The sequence below is a fragment of the Homo sapiens genome, chromosome 1 (assembly GCF_000001405.40).
Source record: "Homo sapiens chromosome 1, GRCh38.p14 Primary Assembly".
Taxonomy (NCBI): Eukaryota; Metazoa; Chordata; class Mammalia; order Primates; family Hominidae; genus Homo; species Homo sapiens.
This window is the reverse complement of record NC_000001.11, coordinates 54,694,436-54,714,217: the sequence shown is the minus strand read 5'-3', so window position 1 is coordinate 54,714,217 and position 19,782 is coordinate 54,694,436. Positions and strand designations below refer to the sequence as shown.

Genomic DNA, 19,782 nt, shown 5'->3' with positions numbered 1-19,782 from the left:
GAGATCTGAAGCCCAGCAGTGGAGCTGGCAGGGTAGTCATTCTTTGATATGGGGATGGAGACAGCATGGCTAAGGATGGCGCATGGGGACCATGAGCCTTCCAGTGCCAGGACTTTATCTTTTCCCTTCTGATTCTTCCACACCCAGCAGAACATCTGGTCCTAGCACTCCCTTCCCTCCAAATCCAAACCTCCTTTTCCACACTTCCTCCTCCAGCCCTGCTCCCTAATCCTGGTTCCCTCCCTTATTCTCCTCTTCATCATCTTTTCCTTTACTGAGTCCAGAGCCTACAGAGTCTTTTTGCTTTCTTTTTTTTCTCATTTGATTCCCATAAGAACACTGTGAGGTATGAACCCATTTTATAGGTAACAATAGGGGAACCTAAGAGAAGCAAAGTGACTTGCCCAGCACACTCTGAACCTTCCAACTCAAAACTACTTAGTGGTCTTGGCCGATAACTGAGTCGATCAGCCTTTGCTGTGCTTAGGGGCCACCCAGACCCAAAATATAGCAGCTGTCATCTGTCAAGGCCACCCTAGACCTGGGTCCTAGCCCATGAAAGCAGAAGTGGTTCTGGGTGGAAGGGTTCAGGTATAGGAGTCTGGAGATCTTCGGGACCTACACTTCCATTAGTTACCTTGCATGACCTTGGGCAAGGCCCATCCCTCATTAAGCTGTGTCCTCATCTGTGGAATGTGGGCAATAAAGCCAGTCTGCCTTCCCCATAATCCAGTCTGCCTTCCCCATAATCCAGTCTGCCTTCCCCATAATCCAGTCTGCCTTCCCCATAATCCATTCTGCCTTCCCCATAATCCACAGGGCTACTGTAAGACTCCAAGGAGGCAATGTTTGTGAACATTCTCAGTGATGGAAAGGATTGTGCAAATGAATCTCCCCATTTCCTACTCTCTCTCTCAGGCCCAGAATACCAATGGCCTGGGCTACCATTTATTAGAAGATGATTGTGTGGTCAACATCATGGGTTCCTCACCCCCAACAGGAGCTTAAGTTAGGTGCTCCACAGGCTGATGTCTCTGCCCACTCTACATACTCTCCCAGGGAAATTGTACCCCAGCCCCTACACACAGATGAATCCCAAATCTGCTTCCTTCTCAGGTCCCTCAGCTGAGCTCCACCCGTGTCCCTTTGTGCCCGCCATAGTCTATTCAGGCTGCTATAACGGAATACCATCAACTCTGGTGTGTAAACAGCAAACATTTATTTCTCACAGTTGTGGAGGCTGGGAAGTCCGAGATCAAGGCCTGGCAGATTCGGTGTCTGGTGAGGGCCTGCTTTCTGGTTCACAGATGCCATCTTCTCAGTGTCCTCCCATGGTGTGAGTAGTGAGGGAGCTCTCTGAAGGCTCTTTTTTATAAGGGCACTAATCCCATTCACTAATCCCTAATCACCTCTCAAAGGCCCCCACCTCCTAATATAATGACCTTGGGGGTTCGGATTTCATATGAATTTGCAGGGACACAGCATTCAGACCACAGCGGCAGCCAACTGCCCTGTGGATATCTCCACTAGCTTGCTGCACAGTCCCTCAAGCTTACCATGCCCATATTGAACTCATCCCCTGCCCCACAACCTGCTCCTGGTCCTGGGTTCACCACTTAGTGTGGGCTCCATTGGCTTAGTCATCCACCCAGAAATCTGGGTGCCAAACTCAGCTCCTCCCTCTCCCTCCTCCCTCCTCCATTCTGTCAACCACTAGGCTCTGAAAATCCCCTTCCTCAGTCTCCTGCAGGCCTGGCCATCCTCTCCATTTTGTGCTGCAAGGTCTGGTCACTGTTCTCTCAGCAGTTTCTGGCTAAGTCTCCCTGATGGTGCTCTTGTCCACCCTGCCATCCAGCCCTTTCACTCCATGACATAGTGAGCTTCTTCTGCTTCCTTTTTTATTTACTCCCTTTTATACCCCAAAGCCCTCCTCCTTACCCTAATCAATCATTCTAGCATGTTTTATTAGCATTTTTTTGTTTTGTTTTATAGAGATGGAGGTCTCACTATGTTGCCCAGGCTGGTCTTGAACTCCTGGCCTCAAGTGATCCTCCCACCTTGGCCTCTTAAAGTGTTGGGATTACAGGCATGAGCCACCACACCTGGCCTCTAGTGTGTTTACTGTGTCTTCTCAGTTTCTAAGTGTTCTTCCAAAATGTGAATTCTTTTGTGTGTACATTCTTTTTTTTTTTTTTTTTTTTTTTTGAGATGGAGTTTCACTCTTATTGCCTAGGCAGGAGTGCAATGGCGCGACCTTGGCTCACTGCAACCTCCGCCTCCCAGGTTCAAGCGATTCTCCTGCCTCAGCCTCCTGAGTAGCTGGGATTACAGGTATGCGCCACCACGCCTGGCTAATTTTGTATTTCTAGTAGAGACGGGGTTTAACCATGTTTGTCAGGCTGGTCTCGAACTCCTGACTCAGGTGATCCACCCGCTTCAGGCTCCCAAAGTGCTGGCATTACAGAAGTAAGCCACCGCGCCTGGCCAACTTTTGTGTATACATTCTTGATACACTTTTTCCCCTCAGCACTGGGTTTTAGGTCCCATCTGGCAGCCCCGAACTGCTGTGCAGGGCTCCACGGCACACATACTCTCCCAAGGGGTGGATACCCAGGCTGCCTCCTCTCCCCACCACCACAAAGAACACTGATCAACTTCCTCATGCATCTCTCTTTATGGACCTGTGGAATATTCCCCCGAGCTATGTATCCATGAGTGGAACTGCTCAGTCGTGGGTATGCATGAACTTAATAAGACTGAAGTGACCGAATAATGACAGATTTCTACAGATTCCAGAAGAGCGGCACCAATTTACCATCTTACCAGCAGTGCCTGAGGGTTCCTGTATCCCCAGGAGGAGGTGCCTTCTAAAGCAGGCATCTGTCTACATCCCTCCCCTGCTTAGCATCCCACAATGCCTTACCACTCCTATCTGGATGAAGTCTCCCTCCTTAACACAGCCTCCAAGGCTTCCGTGGCTCTAGCCTGGAACTCCTCTCCCCTCTCTCTCTGGGCTGTGTGCACTGAAGGACTGCAGTTGTTCCTTGGTTCCATGTGTCCTGCTCCCTTCCATACATGTTCTTTCCAAACCCCCTGCAGGGGAGTTTCTTCCCTCAGAAGCCTTATCTGACACCTCACCGCCTGCTGGTCTATGTACCTCCTCTGGACGCTGAAGCCCGCATGCTGACCTGCTGTGCTGTTGGTGTCTGTATATGTTTCTGACACTTTCATTAGACCACAGTTTCTCAACCGTGGCACTTTTGACAATTGGGATGGGGAACTCCTTGTTGAAGGACTGTCCTCAGCAGAGTAGGATGTTTAGCAGCATCCGTGGCCACTACCCGCTAGATGATAATAGCATACCTCCCAGCCCCCACAAGTGCGACAGCCAGAAGCATCTCCAGACATTGTTAAATATTACCTGGGGATCAAAATCACCCCTGGCTGAGAACCACCGTATCAGACTATGAACTGCTAGGGCCTGGTCTGGGGCTGGGTCTTGTTCATGTGTGTGTCATGGCACCCAGAGGAGGGCTGGCCCAGATTAGATGCTCAGTAAATGCTGCTAGAATCTGTGGTGGCCAATTACTGGGCAAAGACCCAAGGGCGGGACTCAGAATTCAGGGTTTTGGGATATGTATGTTGTCGTGGGGGTGGGGCTGTCTCTTCTTTCCCTTTTTTCCCTTTCCCCAGTGGCCATCCAAATCATCATCTCCTTTTGTTCTTCTAATATGGGGCAGGGGAAACTGAGACATCCAGCAGACTTACTGTGTGGCCCTGGGGAAGCCACTTCATCCCTCTGGGCCTCACTTCCTCACTTATACAATATGGGCAAAACAGACTACGTCAGTCAATAGTTATTGACTGAGCCAACAAACCAAGGCAAACTCCTCTCAAAGTGATGGCTGCTCCAGAGCCTGGGGGATGTCCCAGGAGGAAACAATCAAGATGGAGAGGTAAGCCACATGACATTTATAGGGAGCATGGCTGGAACTCAACCACCCTGAGGAGGGTTTGGGGCTCAGGGACGTCACTTCTTCAAGGACATCTTCCAGGAGCCCAGTGCCTGCATGATCCAGGAGCGCCGCTGGTGGGAAGTGGGCAGGTTCTCACAGCTGGGGCTCCAGCGGTGGGTGGTGGCTGAGTAACACACCCATGAGTTCCCGTGCGGCAGCCAGGAGTTCTGCCAGCAGCTGGCCAGGATGTGGTCCTGGACCTGGGCTGCGTAGATGCACACTGATGCTTCTGGGTCATGTCTCAAGTTATCCAGAGCTGCGTCATGGGGAAGGGAGAAGCCTCCTATTAAGACCCAGGGCCCTATGTGGGTCTCATACCTAATCCTTCCCATCTCCATGCCTTGGCTTAGGCACCCTCTGCTTGGCATCCCCTCATCTCACTTTCCTCCTGGCAATTCAAATTATTCACATTTTTCAGAGCCTGAATCAAAACCTGCCTCCTCCAGGAAGCCTTCCTGGACTGTCCCAGCCTACCTTAATGCTTTCATCATATTCCTTGGTTACAAAGTGAGTCAGTCCCCACTTAAGAGTCACCCTGCACCAAATGGCTTTTGGTCTCACTTTGGAGCCTCATTTCCTTAATGAGATTGTGAGCTCCCCTTGGGTGGGGCTGTGTGTTCTGTCTCTTGGTAACCCAGTGGTACTTAATGCTATACTAAACCTGGATTAAAAACTAGTAAAATTGGCCAGGCGCAGTGGCTCATGCCTGTAATCCCAGCACTTTGGGAGGCAGAAGCGGGCGGATCACTTGAGGTCAGGAGTTCGAGACCAGCCTGGCCAACATGGTGAAACCCTGTCTCTACTGAAGATACAAAAATTAGCAGGCGCAGTGGCATCTGCCTGCAGTCTCAGCTACTTGCGAGGCTGAAGCAGGAGAATCGCTTGAACCAGGAGCGAGAGGTTGCAGTGAGCCGAGATTGTGCCACTGCACTCCAGCCTGGGCGATAGAGTGAGACTCCATCTCAAAACAAACAAACAAACAAACAAACAAAAAACTAGTACAACTGAACTGAGTTGAAGACCCTTGTCTTGGGACACATCCCTTCCCTTTCCCTGTTACCCACTGTGATTCTACTCACTGTCTCACTGTCCCCTGAAATTTCACCAATGCGGGGCATGACTTACCAGCTTTCACTTCATTCAGACGATCTTCTGTCATTATGCTCTCCATGCAGGGGACCAGGGACCCTTGAGCGTAATCCAAGAAGTGAGGGCATTTGTCTTCCGACGTCGACCCCACCCCAACCCACCCTTAGACCAGAGTTCCTCAGAGATGCTTTTCCCATTATCCTCCAGCCCCACACATGAGAACACAAAACTTCATTTGGACCCTGGGACAGATTCCCCAAGAGGGGTCCTGGGAAGGATGACTGGTCCAGTGGGCAGGATGGCACCAGGATAGGGGCAGTATCTGGGCTGCAGCTGACCCTGACAGTGCAGCCTGAGGCTAGCCCAGTACCCAGGCTGGGGCTCAGTTTCCTCATCTGTGACACAAGGAAGTGCTGTCTCTGCTGTCCACTTCTATGGGGAGTTTGAGCAGTAATGTAAGACACTGAGCACCTTGCATACCTGTCAGGCAAGGCTATAGCAGGGCCCTAGAGGGCTGAGACTCAACTATGCTGGGTCAAGGATATGTTTCTGATGACTCCTCTGATGCATTGCTCATCCCTCCCTTGCTGCCAGCCTGTGAGCCTGGCTCCTGCAGTATTTGCAGGTCCTTAAATGGGCTGTACCTCTCAGAAGCTCCTTCCCTCACTATTGTTTGTTTGTTTGTTTGTTTGTTTTTAGACAGTGTTGCCCAGACTGGAGTGCAGTGGCATGATCATAGCACACTGCAGCCTCAAACTCCTGGGCTCAAGCAGTCCTCCTGCCTCAGCCTCCTGAGTAGCTAGGACTATAAGCATTTGCCACTATGTCCAGCTAACTTTTTTAAGTATCTGTTTTTTGTAGAGATGGGGTCTTGCTATATTGCTTAGGCTACTCTCAAATTCCTGCCCTTAAATGATCCTCTCACCTTGACTCCCCAAAGGATTGGGATCACAGGAGTAAGCCACCCTGCCTGGCGCCTCACTTCTTTCCCTGGCAATTCCTATTTGTCCTTGAATATTCAATTTAACAAGTGGTTCCTCCAGGAAGTCCTTCCTCACCTTGCTCCGGATAAGTTAGATCCTTCTCTTGGTTTCTTGAGTATCTGCGAGCTTTTCTCTATCTGTTTATACCACATTGTATTTTACTTGTGATTTATGAATTTTATCTCCCACCAGACCAGAAGTTACTTAATCTTAGATCCACTGAGGGGTGACAGTGGGAGGGCAAGGATCTGAGGATCCATCTGAGGATGCAAAATTGTATACATATATGCATTTTTTTCAGGAAAGTATTCATAATTTTCTTCAGAGTATCACAAAAAAGCCATAACCCAAAAAAGGTTAATAATCATTGCACTGCTCTGGGAGCTATCTATGGGCAGATCAAGGCTCTACTCACTATGTTTCCCCAGCACAGGCCCTGACATACAGATGATTCCCAGGGTGTTAGACACTCCATTTTAGAAGTGATTAATTTAGAGCAAGATTTAAAGAAATCAGCACGTAGGAAGTAGATGTCTCTGAGCAGCCCCCACATTCTAAGGGATTCCTCCAGTCCTGAGCATTTTTCTTCTGCACCAGCATTGATCATGTTAACAGCCACCCCCTATCGCCACACCTTCATCAGCATCACCTCCTGAAGGGCTCTTTGTTGTTCTAGCCTAAGCATCACACCTCTCACAGAGTACGGAATCAACGTTTGCTAAATAAACCAGCAGATGGGTGGATGAATGATCGGACGGAAGAAAACAGCAAATTAACTTGGGAAAGGTACTAAAAAATATCACTTCACAAATGGCATCATTTCCAAGCCTCTTTGCAACAAGGTCTCCTGGCCCTTGGTGAAGGGCATGTGGTTATTTGGAGGGAGGGGTGAGTAACTGGGAGGAGACACACCCACTTGCCATCAGAAGGGTCCTGTCGGGGGCTCTGGTCAAGGGGAATGTGCTGTTTGTTTTTGGTGTTTTTTGTTTGTTTGTTTGTTTGTTTTTTCCAAAAAGAAAGTTTGGGATTATGGGAAATGGAAGAATGAAGACTGCTAACATTGAGCACCTGTATGTGCCATCCCTCCCCTTTTAAAAAATATTCTCATTCAGTCTGTGAAACAGGAGGTGATCCCTATCTTACAGATGAGGAAACTGAGGCTCAGTGGGAGTAAATAATCCAGTTAGGGTGACACAGGAAGGGAACCATGGAACTGAGATTCTACTTGACTCTTTTCACCATGCTGCTTGGCCCCTCCTGCTGCTGTCAATGGGGGATTTGCCCAGGCTCCTGCTAGGCTTGTACCCATGCTGTACTCCAGAGAAAAGCAGCAGTTCTGCCATATACAGTTGCCAAGGTTGTGACCTGCACAAAGACTTCAGACTGAATCCAGCCTGTAGCTCACTTCCTAAGCCATGATCTTAGAGTGGGGAAAACCATTCTAACTTTCACCATGGCTGTCTGGTGGCCAAGCCTTGCACCCAAAGGGAAGCATCCCCCCAGGTGCTGAAAGGGCTAGCAGCCTGGGAGGAAACAAACTGGAGAGCAGGCAGAGCCCTGGCAGCAGGATGACTTATGCCAGGGCAGGTTACCTATGAACATGACTGAGCACTTCCGGAGGGAGGCCCGTGAGTTCTTGGCATACTCCAGGCTCTGGCTGAGGAATATGAAGGCGCTGTCTCGGTGGGTGTTCACCTAGGACAAAGAGAAACCCCAAAAGTGCTGGCCTCTCAGAGGAACCAATTGCCCATCCACCCTTCTTGAAGCTAGGAATGGTGACCCTCACCCCCTGCCTCCCAAATATATCTGCTCCCTCTGCATGAGTCCCCCACAGGCCAGGGCTTATCTCCTCTTAGCTGATTACAACAATCACTTCGATGATGTTCCTGCCTTGGGTGTCTCCTCTTCCAATTTACCCCCCTGCTGCAGTCAGAGGGAAAGTTCTAAAATGCAGATCCAGCCAGTGATGGGAATGGACATGGCATGTGAGGGACATAGGTAAGGAGACAGTTTGACCAGGGTGAAGGATTCAAGGTATAGAGCAATGGGGATAAACTGGAGAGTCAGGGGGTCTTAAAAGCCAGACAGAAATAGGGCTTACTCGTACATTAGGAAAGAAGAAGGCAACATTGATTTACTCTTAATAGGACAGTGAGAAAGCCACGTTTTGGGTAAAATAGTCTGACAGAGGTAGTCACGATGGCTTTGACAGGTAGAAAGTGGGAGACAGTTGTCCAGCTAAGGAGCTTGTCCAGCTAAGGAGCTGTTGAGGGAGAAGATGAGAAATCTGATCTGATCACTCTCCTGTTGACGACCTATGTGTATCAAGGCCTAAGCTCCTAGGCCTGGCATGCAAAGCTTCATGATCATGTTCTGGGTCTGACCTTCCTTCGAAGTCTCAGCTCCTTCCACTGACTCCACCTGTCATGCCCACCATGCTGCACTCCGAGGACATGACCAGCTATCCCCAGATCTGCACCTTCTACAAGAAATTGCTCCTATTTGGAGTGCCCTTCCCACTCTTCTTCACCTCATAAATTCCCTCTCATCCTTTAAGCCTCAGCTCAGATGCCACCTCCTTCCTGAAGCCTTCCACAGCCCTTAGGCAGAGCTCCATCCCACCACCCTTGATGTTTCTAGCAGATCTTGCTCATCCTTTGTCATGACACCTATGACACTGTGTTGTAATTATTTATACTGATGTCCCCCCACTGTATCTCGGGCTCCCCCAAGAGAAGGGGCCATTTCACTCAGCTAAGAGTCTCAGCACCCTGGACAGGGACTGGCTTGCAGCAGGTGCCCCAAAAGTGTCAGATGAATGAATGAACAAATGAATGAATAGGTTACCAGCCCCTTCTTAAAGCTAAGCCTGGAGGTTGACCTTTAAATGAGCAAAGCTCTTGATGGCCTGAAGAGCAAAGAAGAAACTGAGGACCCAGAGGGGTCTAATGTAGAGGTCACAAGCTGGCAGCCACGGGCCTCAGTAGCCTGCAGAGCAATGACAAGCACAGTGTTTAAAACATGCTACATTCAGCCGGGTGCAGTGGCTCACACCTGTAATCCCAGCATTTTGGGAGGCTGAGGCGGCAGATCACCTGAGGTCAGGAGTTCAAGACCAGTCTGACCAACATGGAGAAACTCCGTCTCTACTAAAAATACAAAATTAGCCAGGTGTGGTGGCATATGCCTGTAATCCCAGCTACGCAGGAGGTTGAGGCAGGAGAATCACTTGAACCTGGGAGGCGAGGGTTGCGATGAGCGGAGATCACACCATTGCACTCCAGCCTGGGGAACAAGAGTGAAACTCCATCTCAAAAAAAAAAAAAAAAAAAAAAAGAGCTACATTGAATGCTAATTCATGTCCTATAAAAATGTAGGGTTTCTGACCAGGCATAGTGGTTCACGCCTGTAATCCCAGCACTTTGGGAGGCAGAGGCAGGCAGATCACCTGAGGTCAGGAGTTCGAGACCACCAGTCTGGCCAACATGGTGAAACCCCATCTCTACTATAAATACAAAAAAAAAATAGCTGGGTGTGGAGGTGCATGCCTATAATTCCAGCTACTTGGGAGGCCGATGCAGGAGAATCTCTTGAACCCCCTAAGGTGGAGGTTGCAGTGAGCCGAGATCGCACCACTCACTGCACTCCAGCCTGAGTGACAGAGTGAGACTCTGTCTCAAAAAAAAAAAAAAAAAAAAAATAGGTTTCTAGCTTTTCTCATGAAACCAGAGGACCTGGCAAGAGAAGGGCCTGCACGGTGAGCTTGAGCTCTTCACCCCTACCTTCAACGGGGTCTGGGCTCTCCAGGGTGCTCAGGGACCACCACTTCCACACCACTCATGATTATCTGCCTGGTCACTGGCCACTGTGAGCATTTGAATTAGTGACCCTGGCCAAGCACTTCCTCCAGACCTCTATTTCCCACTGGAATGTGATGGTAATATCATGAGACCCTCAATTGCAGAGGCTTTGAGCATTACTGATAATGGTGGTGGCCAAAGAGCTTTTCTCAGTCCAGTAACAATTTGTGGCTTTGTATATTTATGTTAGATTGGTGTGGGGAGTGATGGACTCCCCACTCAGATGTCCCTTCACACGGGAGGGATTAATTCCCCCAACTCTGGGCATTGCCTGGGCTGAGAACTGCCTGGCCCAAGGTCAAGCCCTTCCCAGGGTGACTGGCATCCAGTGACAGATGAACACAGGAGTGTACAGACCTGACCCCCAGGCCAAATTTGGGAATCTCGTGGCAGTGTTGGCTGAGGCCTGTGCTGAAGCTACATTGTAACTTGACTTCTCCCTTTGTTATTCCTGTTTCTTCCGCTCCCTTCCATGGGTATTGGTCCCAGGGGCACTCCCTCATATGCTCACTGCTGCCCACAACAACAGGGAAGGTAGATTGAGACCGCGGGCAAATCCTCCCAAATGACATATGGAGGACTAGGCTGTATCCTGCAGAGTTGTGCTTGTGTGTGTGTGTGTATGCGCGCGCGCACATGCACGCGGCTTGCTCCTACCTCATGATGTTCACAGGTATCACCGAGAAAGGAAGCTCTGTGGTTAAATAAGTTTGGGAAACTATTATATGAAGAACCATGAACACATTTCCTCAGCACAAAACATCTCAGAGCCTTTAGTATCCTGATGTCATTGCAAATCTCCAAGAGGAGAATGTCAGTGCAGTATTTCCCAAACTTACTTGTCTTCAAACTTCTTTTCCTCCCTCTGGGGCATATTTTGTGAGACTGGTGTTGCAGGTAATACAACTCTGGGAATTGATGTTGTAGAAAAGGAGCCAGTGTGGCCCTTGAGGCAGGGATCTAATACAAGCAGGCTGTGTTTTAACAAGACCATTCTGGTGGCCTGGGTGGGAAATGGATTGGAGGGGATGGAGTTAAAGGCTGGGAGACCCCTTGGGTGGCTGGGCCAATAGCCTAACTGAGGGGTGTCGGTGCCCTGAATTAAGGGCAACGATGGCAGCAGGGTGGGGAGGGAAAAGCAGATTCCAAGATACTCGGGATATTTAAGATTGATCAAATGTGGAGGGTGAGGGAGATGAAGGAGCCCAAGAGGATTCTAGGTTTCTGCTTGGGGGCTCTAGAGGGAAAAGGAGGAATTGAAAGGAAAAGGCACAGGCTCAAAAGAGACAAGCTGAGCTTGAAGTGCCCGTGATCATCGTGGGAGGTATGCAGGAAGCCACTGAACAGAGAACACACTAGAAGTCAGGAGAGAAGCCAGAGGTGGAGAGGAACGTTCCAGAACCAACAACTTGTAGTTGGTCATGGAAATAGGATGCTGGTGGGAAAAGAAGGAAGAGAGAGACACAGAATTCGCCACCTCCAACATGCTTGTAAGGAACCACTCTACTCTCTGGGAGCACTCACAAGGCACTTGCAAATTTTGGCCACTGTCTGCTGTTGGTTGTCCCAGGGCTTCCGGCTATAAGCTCTTTTTGGCAACTCCCAAGCCATGAAGTAAGAACAGCGTAACAGGGTCTTCACACACTTCTGGGAACCAATAGGAAGAAAATATCAGAACTGTGGACAGCCAGACTATGGTCCAGAAAAAGGGATTTTGAAAACTCAGTTTCTATTTGAAATTGTACAAGTGAAGCTGACCATTTTTAATTTTTTTAATTACTATTATTTTATTTTTATTTTGCCCATGATTTAGGACCTTTTTCTTTTTTTATACATCAGCTATGACCAGAAGCTGGCCGTGTTGAGGAAGAATCCTGATGTGGGCACCTTTAGAAAACAGACATGGCTGGACATACATAACTGCCCCCAGGATTGTTTGAGACTCTGGCTTGGTTAACGTAAAAAGAGGTGCGCCCACAGGACCCGAGGGAGGGGTAGAGGGTGCAGGGCCCACGCACACTCACCTGGCTTACCTTGGAGTTGCCCTCCTGCATGGTCAGCAGTAGGGGCACCAAGGTGCTGACCAGCTGCTCCTCCATGGCCTGAGTGCGTGGTGCCCGAAGCTTCTGGACCACCTTCCCATACAGGTTGATGCAGGAGGAGCGCACGACCTCTCGTGCCTGGGGAAGACCAAAGGCTCAGAGGGGGTCCCTCCTCTGGGACGCCACTCACTGCGGCTGATTCAGAGCCATTGTTCCTCTCACTCAAGCCTAGGTCTGGAACTCTCCCGACTCTTCCCAGCCAGACCCCCACTAACCTAAAAGGCACCTGAGTGCTAAGTAGGAAAATGCCTCCCTCTCCTCCTCTGCTAGGAGCAGTTTAAAGAAAAAAAAAAAACTGGCCAGGTGCTGTGGCTCATGCCTGTAATCCCAGCACTTTGGGAGGCTGAGGTGGGGGTGGATCACGTGAGTCCCAGGAGTTCAAGACCAGCCTGGGCAACATAGGGAAACCCCATCTCTACAAAAAATGCAAAATTAGCTGGGCATAGTGGTGCATGCCCATAGTCCCAGCTATCAGGAGGCTGAGGTGGGAGAACTGCTTGAGCCAGGAAGGTCGAGCTGAGATCTTGCCACTGCACTCCAGCCTGGGTGCCAGAGCAAGATCCTGCCTTTAAAAAGAAAGTACCCCCTCTAGATGAACCAGTCACAATAGATGACCCTTTCTGGGGAGACTCGATTGTGAAAGAAGAGCTTCCTCTGTCAGAACCAGTTAGAATAAGGAACATTTACAAAAAGATGTGGACCAGCTGGGACAAAGTTCCTCTCCCAGTAGGCTGACCCAACACTGCCCAGGTCCTGATGGGGGCACAGGTGGAAATGCAGCCCCCAAGGTAGTAAAAGACCCCCTTCTCGATCCCTCCTGCTCCTTCGCTCTGTGAGGTCCTCACGTCGCTGAAGTGCGGCAGCAGGATCTGCAGCATCTCCACATAGACCGCACTGTCCATCAGCTTCTGGTCCCGCCCCTTGAAGACAGCCTTGAGGTTGTGGACCGCTTCCACCACCAGCATCCCATCCATGTTCTTCAGGCCCTTCACCATGGAGGGCAGGAGGGCCTTCACCTTGGCGGTCTGTGGGGCAGGAGCATTTGGGATGAGGGCTCCTATCTGAGCTAGCAAGTAGGAAGAGACCCAGCCTCTGATTCACTGAAATGAACTTGGTGGCCCAATCCCCACTTCCAGGCCTTGGCCTATGCCATCCCACCTGCCTGGAATACCCTCACCCAACCTCTTGCTGCTCCTCAAAGCCTTCTTTGGCCTCACTGACTCGTTGGCCAGGACCCCTGAGGCCCTTTGCTGTCTACCCCCTTCCTTGGCTCTAGGTAGATGACACGCTGTGTTGTTAGTTAGCTTTCTGAGTCTATGTCCTGTCCTTTCATAGCAGCTACATCATGAGCTGCAACAGTGCCTGGTAGAGAAAAACAAAGCACTTTAAAAAATGCTAATGATGCAGCAACAATCTGGGCTCTGTTTCCTTATCTGTAAAATAGGAATACTTGTGCCACCCTTTGCCCTTCCTATACACACTGCCTTTAGAATCATTGTGAAAAACCTAGATTAGAAACTATTCAAAAGGAATAAAATATATAGATTTTTAAAGGATATCTATTTTACAGATGGGACAACTGAGGCTAAGATAGAAATGATGTCTCATTCCAGCTGTGGGCTTCTGAGGTACTATAATGGTGAAGCTCTGTCCTTCCTCCAGTCTGGGGCCTGGCTGGGCCAGGCTTTCCTCTGCCTCCCACTCACCTTCTCAGACCTGCGGGCCAGGATGACCAGGCCTCGAATGGACAGCACCTTCATGATGGGGTCGTGGTGGCTCAGGCCTTCTGCCATCCGCCCCAGAGAGTATTCCTCGGGGATCCGGCGCACCTGCTCCATCTGGAGGAGCTGAGGGAGCAAAGGGTCATTACTTCCCAGGCTGAGGGGGGCAGGGCAGCCCCCTGGCCTCCCATGCACTGGGATTGCACATTGGATACCAGGCTCAGCTCTGCCCGGAGCTTCAGACTTGCAAAACCAACAGATTGCTGGAAGTCTCCGTCTGATGTCCATCAGCACCATGTGGCAAAGCTGAGTGTGTCACTCTCCAGCTCCGAGCCCCTGTGACTGCTTGTTGTTGCCTTTCCCATGAGATCCTGTGGCCTCATTAACAGCAGCGTGCCCACCCTCCAGCCCACACCCTCACCACCAGCCAGCCAGCTTCCAACCAAGCTGTCTCCTGTTCTCTGAACTACCCAGGCTGTTCCACCCCTTCTGTGCTGGCAAAATGCCCTTCTCCTGGGATGCCCACCTCCACTCTGACCCCTGCCACCTCGCAGGGCTCCATCCAAAACTCAGAGCCTTAAAGCTAGGCTTGACACTGCCCCTGGCCTCATTTAGGCTGACTGCCTCCTTCCCTGGGCCCTTGGGTGCCCTGGACTTCCTCCTGAGGCGACAGCTGGAAACCTTCAGTGCCTCCATCTGCCTCCCCTATCCAACAGGGGATTTCCCTGAGGACAAAACCCGAGTTGTTCCTCCATGGGCCCCTGTTAGCTAACATCAACTCTGGTGCGGAATATGTGCTCAGGGACTGCTTGCTGCATGAGTTCAGGTCCAACATGAATCTTGGCTTGGGCCGGGCACGGTGGCTCATGCCTGTAATCCCAGCTACTCAGGAGGCCAAGGTGGGTGGGTCACCTGAGGTATGGAGTTCAAGACCAGCCTGGGCAACATGGTGAAACCCCCATCTCTACTAAAAATACAAAAAATTAGCCGGGCACGGTGGCACACGCCCCAGCTACTCGGGAAGCTGAGGCAGGAGAATCGCTTGAATCTAGGGTGTGGAGGTTGCAGTGAGCCAAGATCACACCACTGCACTCTAGCCTGGGTGACAAGAGCAAGACTCCACCTTGAAAAGAGAAGGAAATAAAGAAAGAAATAAAGAGAGAGAAGGAGGGAGGGAAGGAGGGAGGAAGGAAGGAAGGAAAGGGGAAAGAAGGAAGAAAGGAGAAAGAAAGAGAGGGAGAGAAAGAAAGAAAGAAAGAGAAAGAAAGAAAGAAAGAAAGAAAGAAAAGAAAGAAAGAAAGAAAGAAAGAAAGAAAGAAAGAAAGAAAGAAAGAAAGAAAGAAAGAAAGAAAAGGCCAGGCAAGGTGGCTCACACCTATAATCTCAGCACTTTGAGAGACTGAGGTGGATAAATCACCTGAGGTCAGGAGTTTGAGACTAGCCTGGCCAACATGGGGAAACCCCATCTCTACTAAAAATACAAAAATTAGCTGGGCATGGTGGCAGGTGCCTGTAATCCCAGCCACTCAGGAGGATGAGGCATCAGAATCACTTGAACCTGGGAGGGGGAGGTTGCAGTGAGCCAAGATGGCGCCATTGCACTCCAGCCTGGGAGACAAGAATGAAACGCCGTCCAAAAAAAAAAAAAAGAAAGAAACTTGGCTCCTTTCCTCCTTAGGCATGCCCTCCTCTTGCACTCCCTGTGGCAGGGTTAGCACTACCAGCCCCCCATCGTCCAAGCTGCACACCAGCCTCACCCTTATCCCCCTCCTCTCCCCCACTGGCCTCCCCACCCACGGCAGCCAACAGGACTTCGATGCCTGCTGCATGACTCTCACAAACGCTTCTCCCCTCCATGCCCTTGCCTGACATCTCCTGTGACTGTTGAGCCCGTGTGTCTGTATTGTGGGAGGAAAGAGCTGGGGAGGCAGAGCTGGAGGAGGGGGCAGGACAGGTCACCGGGGGAGGAGGCAGAAAAGGAGGGGCTCCACCTATCACCCGCCATCCACCAATTCACACCACCAATATTCAGGCCTGCTGTGCACAGCTTCTGGGCTGGGCACTGGAGACACGGAAAAGAGTCATGAGAACCCTAAAAGCAATTTAACTGACTCACAGAGAGCACTTCCTATGTGCCAGGCACTGTTCTAAGTGCTTTATGTAAACCTGACCACTCTAGGAGGTGGTCAAGTCATCATCCCCATACTACAGGTGAGGAAACAGAGGCACAGGCAGGTTAAGTGACTTGTCCAAGATGGCACAGCTCCCTTAAGGAGTTCACCTTCCACTGGGAGAAGCAAGCACACACACCATCACAGCAGAGAGGGCGACAGGAAGCCGGGGCGGAGGGGACGAGGGTGAAAGGGGCATCTGAGCTGCATCAAAGTGCCACGGCTTTAATGGTGGGGCTGACTGGCCAGGAGCAGACACCTCTTCTGGGGAGGTGGAAAAGACTGAACCTGGGCCAAGACCCTTGCTGCAGGGCGGAAGGGCTGCTGGTCAGGAGTCCAGGGAATGGTGGGGAGAAGTTAAACCTAGAGTCCCTGACTTTGTGGTGGACACAGGAATGCCCCATAAGGTCTGGCAAGATCCACCCTCCCTCCTCTCCTGCAAGAACCCATGTGGTAGACACTAACAGACTTAGAAGTGCCTCTCCAAGAGGCTGACCAAAGTAGAGGACCGTGTCAGGCAGGCCTGTTCTGAATCTCTCTGGACTCTCTGAGCTCTGTGACCTTAAAAAATTCCCCTTAACTCACCTAAGCATGAGTATCACAATTCCTTCTTCGCAGGGTTGCTGTGCAGATTAGTGAAATAACATTTGAAAGAGGTCAATACAAGTGTTTGGCACATAGTAGGCCTGTAAGTAATGGTAGTTTCCCTTTCTCTTTCCCTCACCATGGTCAGGGAAATTGGAGTTAGAACTGGATGGAGCTGGGGCTGGAACCCAGGACTCCCGACCCCAAGGCCAGGTTTGCTCTCCCTGGAGGTGACACATTCTGCTGGTGACCTGCAGTATTTGTTCAGGCACTCCTTCATCCATCCCATCCCCACTTCTTGGGGCCCTCCTAAAGCTGGACCTGGGGGTGCAATACCAATGTGACATGGTCCCTTCTCCCAACTCATAGCCCACCTGCAGTGGCAGAAAAGATGACAAAAGTACCTAGGATGCCCATGCTGCCTCTTGTTCATTTGGCAAACTTTAAGGTTCAGTTTAAATGTCATCTCCTCCAGGAAGCCTTCCTTAACCTTCACACTATCCAAGCAGACAATGAGCCTCTTGCCTCTGAGCCTCACTATACAGATCCTAGTTTAGCCTAGACCTGCCTCATGACAACCATCAGGTCACAAGAACTAGGCAAGCGTGGTGGTTAAAAGAGTGGGTTTTACGATGTCAGCCAACAGACAAATGGATAAAGAAAATGTGGTATGTACATGCAATGAAATATTATTCAGTCTTAAAAAGTAAGGAAATTTTGACTAGGCGTGGTGGCTCACACCTGTAATTCCAGCACTTTGGGAGGCTGAGGTGGGAGGATCATTTGAGGTCAGGAGTTCGAGACCAGCCTGGCCAACATGGGGAAACCCAGTCTCTACTAAAAATACAAAAATTAGCTGGACATGGTGGTGCTTGCCTATAATCCCAGCTACTCGGGAGGCTGAGACAGAAGAATTGCTTGAATCTGGGAGGCGGAATTTGCAGTGAGCCAAAATCACGCCACTGCACTCCAACCTGGGCAACAGAGAAAGACTCCATCTCAAAAAAAAAAAAAAAAAAAAAAAAAAAAAAGTAAGGAAATTGTGATGCATGCAACAGCATAGATAAATCTTGAAGACATTATGTTTAGGGAAACAGCCAGGCACAAAAGGACAAATATTGTATGATTCCACTTACATAAGATACCTAGAATAGGCAAATTCATAGAGATAGAGAGTAGAATAGAGGTTACTAGGGGCTGAGGGAATGGAACGGGGAGTTTGTGTTTAGTGGGTGTTGAGTTTCAGTAGTGAAAGATACGAAAGTTCTGGAGATGAATGGTGGTGATGGTTGCATAACAATATGAATGTATTAATGTCATTGGACTGTACACCTAAAATGGTTAAAATGGCAAATTTTATGTTACGTATATTTTACCACAATTTTTTAAAAACTAAAAGGAAAGGGGAGGGTTTTAGAGCCCAGATGTCTTTATTTGAATCCTGGATCTGCCACTTACAAGCTGTGCGGTCTTGGGAAAGTTTCTTAAATTGATGCCTCAGGGTTTTTTTTCTCTAAAACGGGGCATGGAATAGTATCTGCGTCATAAGATTAGTATGAGACCAAATGAATCAATGTGTGTCAAGCTCTTAGAACATGCTTGGAAGATATTAAGTGCTCAATAAATATTAGCTGTTATTATTAGCAAGTCTCTCTCTTCTGGGTCTGTCCCCACCAACTTCTCCTGACTCACCTCTCCCTAGCACCTCCCCAACACACACTCAGCTTAGATGTCACCTCCTCCAGGAAGCCCTCCCTCCCTGATGCCTCCCTCCCTCAAGTCACTTGTTTCCCCACCACAGCCTAGATGGCCCCATCATAGTACAAATCACTCACTGGTATCACCCCCTGTTATAACTGGGGTGTCCTCTGTGTCCTCTGCCACACCAAAAATTCCTTGAGGGCAGGGTAGAGTCAAATTCACATTTATATGTCTCGTGCCTGACACACAGAGGTGCCCAGCAAAGGTTGGTGGTTCCCTGGGCACTAGGGGAGTCTGGTTAAGAGTGGAATGGAGTAAAGGGTGGAGAGACAGGGAGGGGAGGGAGGGAGACCAACAAGATCATCATAGTCAAGAGAAGTCATGCCCATGGGAAGGCTTTGTAAACTATAAAGTACTGTTTACATAGGAGAAATGACCAGTGACGTGAACCGAGGCCCGGGAGGAGCTCCCGCTGTGTACCCGCTGCCCCCGTTGGTACCTCCACGAAGAAGGCGGTGGCCGTGATCCTGTGCTTCTCGTCGCCTCGCTCCAGGAGCGGGATGAGCAGGTAGAGGATGCGGCACAGCTCCTGGCAGGAGTACTGCACCATGGCCCTGGGGGTGGGAAGGGGGAGTAGTCCCCTCAGGTATCCAGCCCCAGGGGGACCTGTGGGGGGGATTTGCTTGTGACACTGGAAATCCTGGGTAAGCCAGGATCACCTGGATTCCTGCGTTCCCAGGATTTTCCACCTGGGTGGGATCTCAGAGGTCATCTGGTTTCACTGCTTCATTTTACAGATGAAGAAACTGAAGCCCAGAATGGGAAAGAGACTTGCCTGAGGGCACAGCACAAATCAGTAAGAGAGCCAGGCTGAAGACCCTCAGCTGCACAGGACCACGTCAGGCAGCAGAGAGAGGAAGGAGAGGATGTGAAGGCCCACTCACCAAGCGCCAGGCAGCAGGCACATGCTTTCACATTGTTACTCCATCTGATCCTTCGAAGCAGGTTGCTGTTATTATCCCCATTTCATAGATGAGGAAACAGAGGCTCTAAGTGTGAACCGCCCACGGTCACAGAGCTAGAAAATGGCCGAGCTGGAGCCCCAACCGAGGGCTCACATTCCAGCTGCCTCGTTCATTCTACTAAGCCAGTGGTCCTCTCAGTGCCACCCCCACTCAACCAGAGTATTAGCATCAGCTGGGAGCTTGTTAGAAGTGAACCATCCCAAGCCAGGCGCGGTGGCTCAGGCCTGACCACTTTGGGAGGCTGAGACGGGCAGATCATTTGAGGTTGGGAGTTTGAGACCAGCCTGGTCAACATGGTAAAACCCCGTCTCTACTAAAAATACAAAAAAAATTGACTGGGTGTGGTGGCGCATGCCTGAAATCCTAGCTACTTGGGAGGTTGAGGCAGGAGAATCACTTAAACCCAGGAGGCAGAGGTTGCAGTGAGCCAACACCGTGCCACTGCACTCCAGCCTGGGCAACAGAGTGAGACTCCATCTCAAAAAAGAAGTGCACCATCCCAGACCTACTAAGCAGGAACTCTTAGGGT

The 19,782-nt window shown here is 50.1% G+C and overlaps 1 protein-coding gene and 1 long non-coding RNA gene across 7 annotated transcripts in view, besides 3 other annotated features; both read right to left on the bottom strand.

Moving 5' to 3' along the window:
- Positions 1–19,782, bottom strand: part of MROH7-TTC4 (MROH7-TTC4 readthrough (NMD candidate)) — a 100,918-nt gene that overhangs the window by 28,440 nt on the left and 52,696 nt on the right. Inside the window, 7 exon segments of one of the 3 annotated variants that reach the window (NR_037640.2) lie at positions 5,142–5,204; positions 7,681–7,783; positions 11,473–11,595; positions 11,973–12,128; positions 12,896–13,075; positions 13,757–13,897; positions 18,728–18,842. This is a non-coding gene — a long non-coding RNA (MROH7-TTC4 readthrough (NMD candidate)). 3 annotated transcript variants of the gene reach the window in all.
- The window catches only part of MROH7 (maestro heat like repeat family member 7), a 68,481-nt gene continuing 52,650 nt past the window's right edge, over positions 3,952–19,782 (bottom strand). For all 4 annotated transcript variants that reach the window (NR_111931.2, NR_026782.3, NM_001039464.4 and 1 more), the window contains 8 exons: positions 18,728–18,842; positions 13,757–13,897; positions 12,896–13,075; positions 11,973–12,128; positions 11,473–11,595; positions 7,681–7,783; positions 5,142–5,204; positions 3,952–4,272 (listed from right to left, as the gene is read on the bottom strand). Coding sequence is in view for 2 of the 4 variants with exons in the window: in NM_001039464.4 (NP_001034553.3) it covers positions 4,031–4,272; positions 5,142–5,204; positions 7,681–7,783; positions 11,473–11,595; positions 11,973–12,128; positions 12,896–13,075; positions 13,757–13,897; positions 18,728–18,842 (1,123 nt within the window). In the remaining 2 variants the exon portion in view is untranslated. The remainder of the gene's footprint in view (positions 4,273–5,141; positions 5,205–7,680; positions 7,784–11,472; positions 11,596–11,972; positions 12,129–12,895; positions 13,076–13,756; positions 13,898–18,727; positions 18,843–19,782) is intronic.
- Positions 8,771–8,971: a silencer, noted in NCBI's record as "peak243 fragment used in MPRA reporter construct". NCBI's record gives its function as "represses an SCP1 promoter by STARR-seq MPRAs in K562 erythroleukemia cells {active_cell/tissue: K562}" and the evidence as "EXISTENCE:reporter gene assay evidence [ECO:0000049][PMID:32103011]".
- Positions 15,138–15,638: an enhancer, noted in NCBI's record as "H3K4me1 hESC enhancer chr1:55164253-55164753 (GRCh37/hg19 assembly coordinates)". NCBI's record gives its function as "activates a minimal SCP1, AML or CMV promoter by ChIP-STARR-seq in naive H9 embryonic stem cells {active_cell/tissue: H9 hESC(naive)}" and the evidence as "EXISTENCE:reporter gene assay evidence [ECO:0000049][PMID:30033119]".
- Positions 15,639–16,139: an enhancer, noted in NCBI's record as "H3K4me1 hESC enhancer chr1:55163752-55164252 (GRCh37/hg19 assembly coordinates)". NCBI's record gives its function as "activates a minimal SCP1, AML or CMV promoter by ChIP-STARR-seq in naive H9 embryonic stem cells {active_cell/tissue: H9 hESC(naive)}" and the evidence as "EXISTENCE:reporter gene assay evidence [ECO:0000049][PMID:30033119]".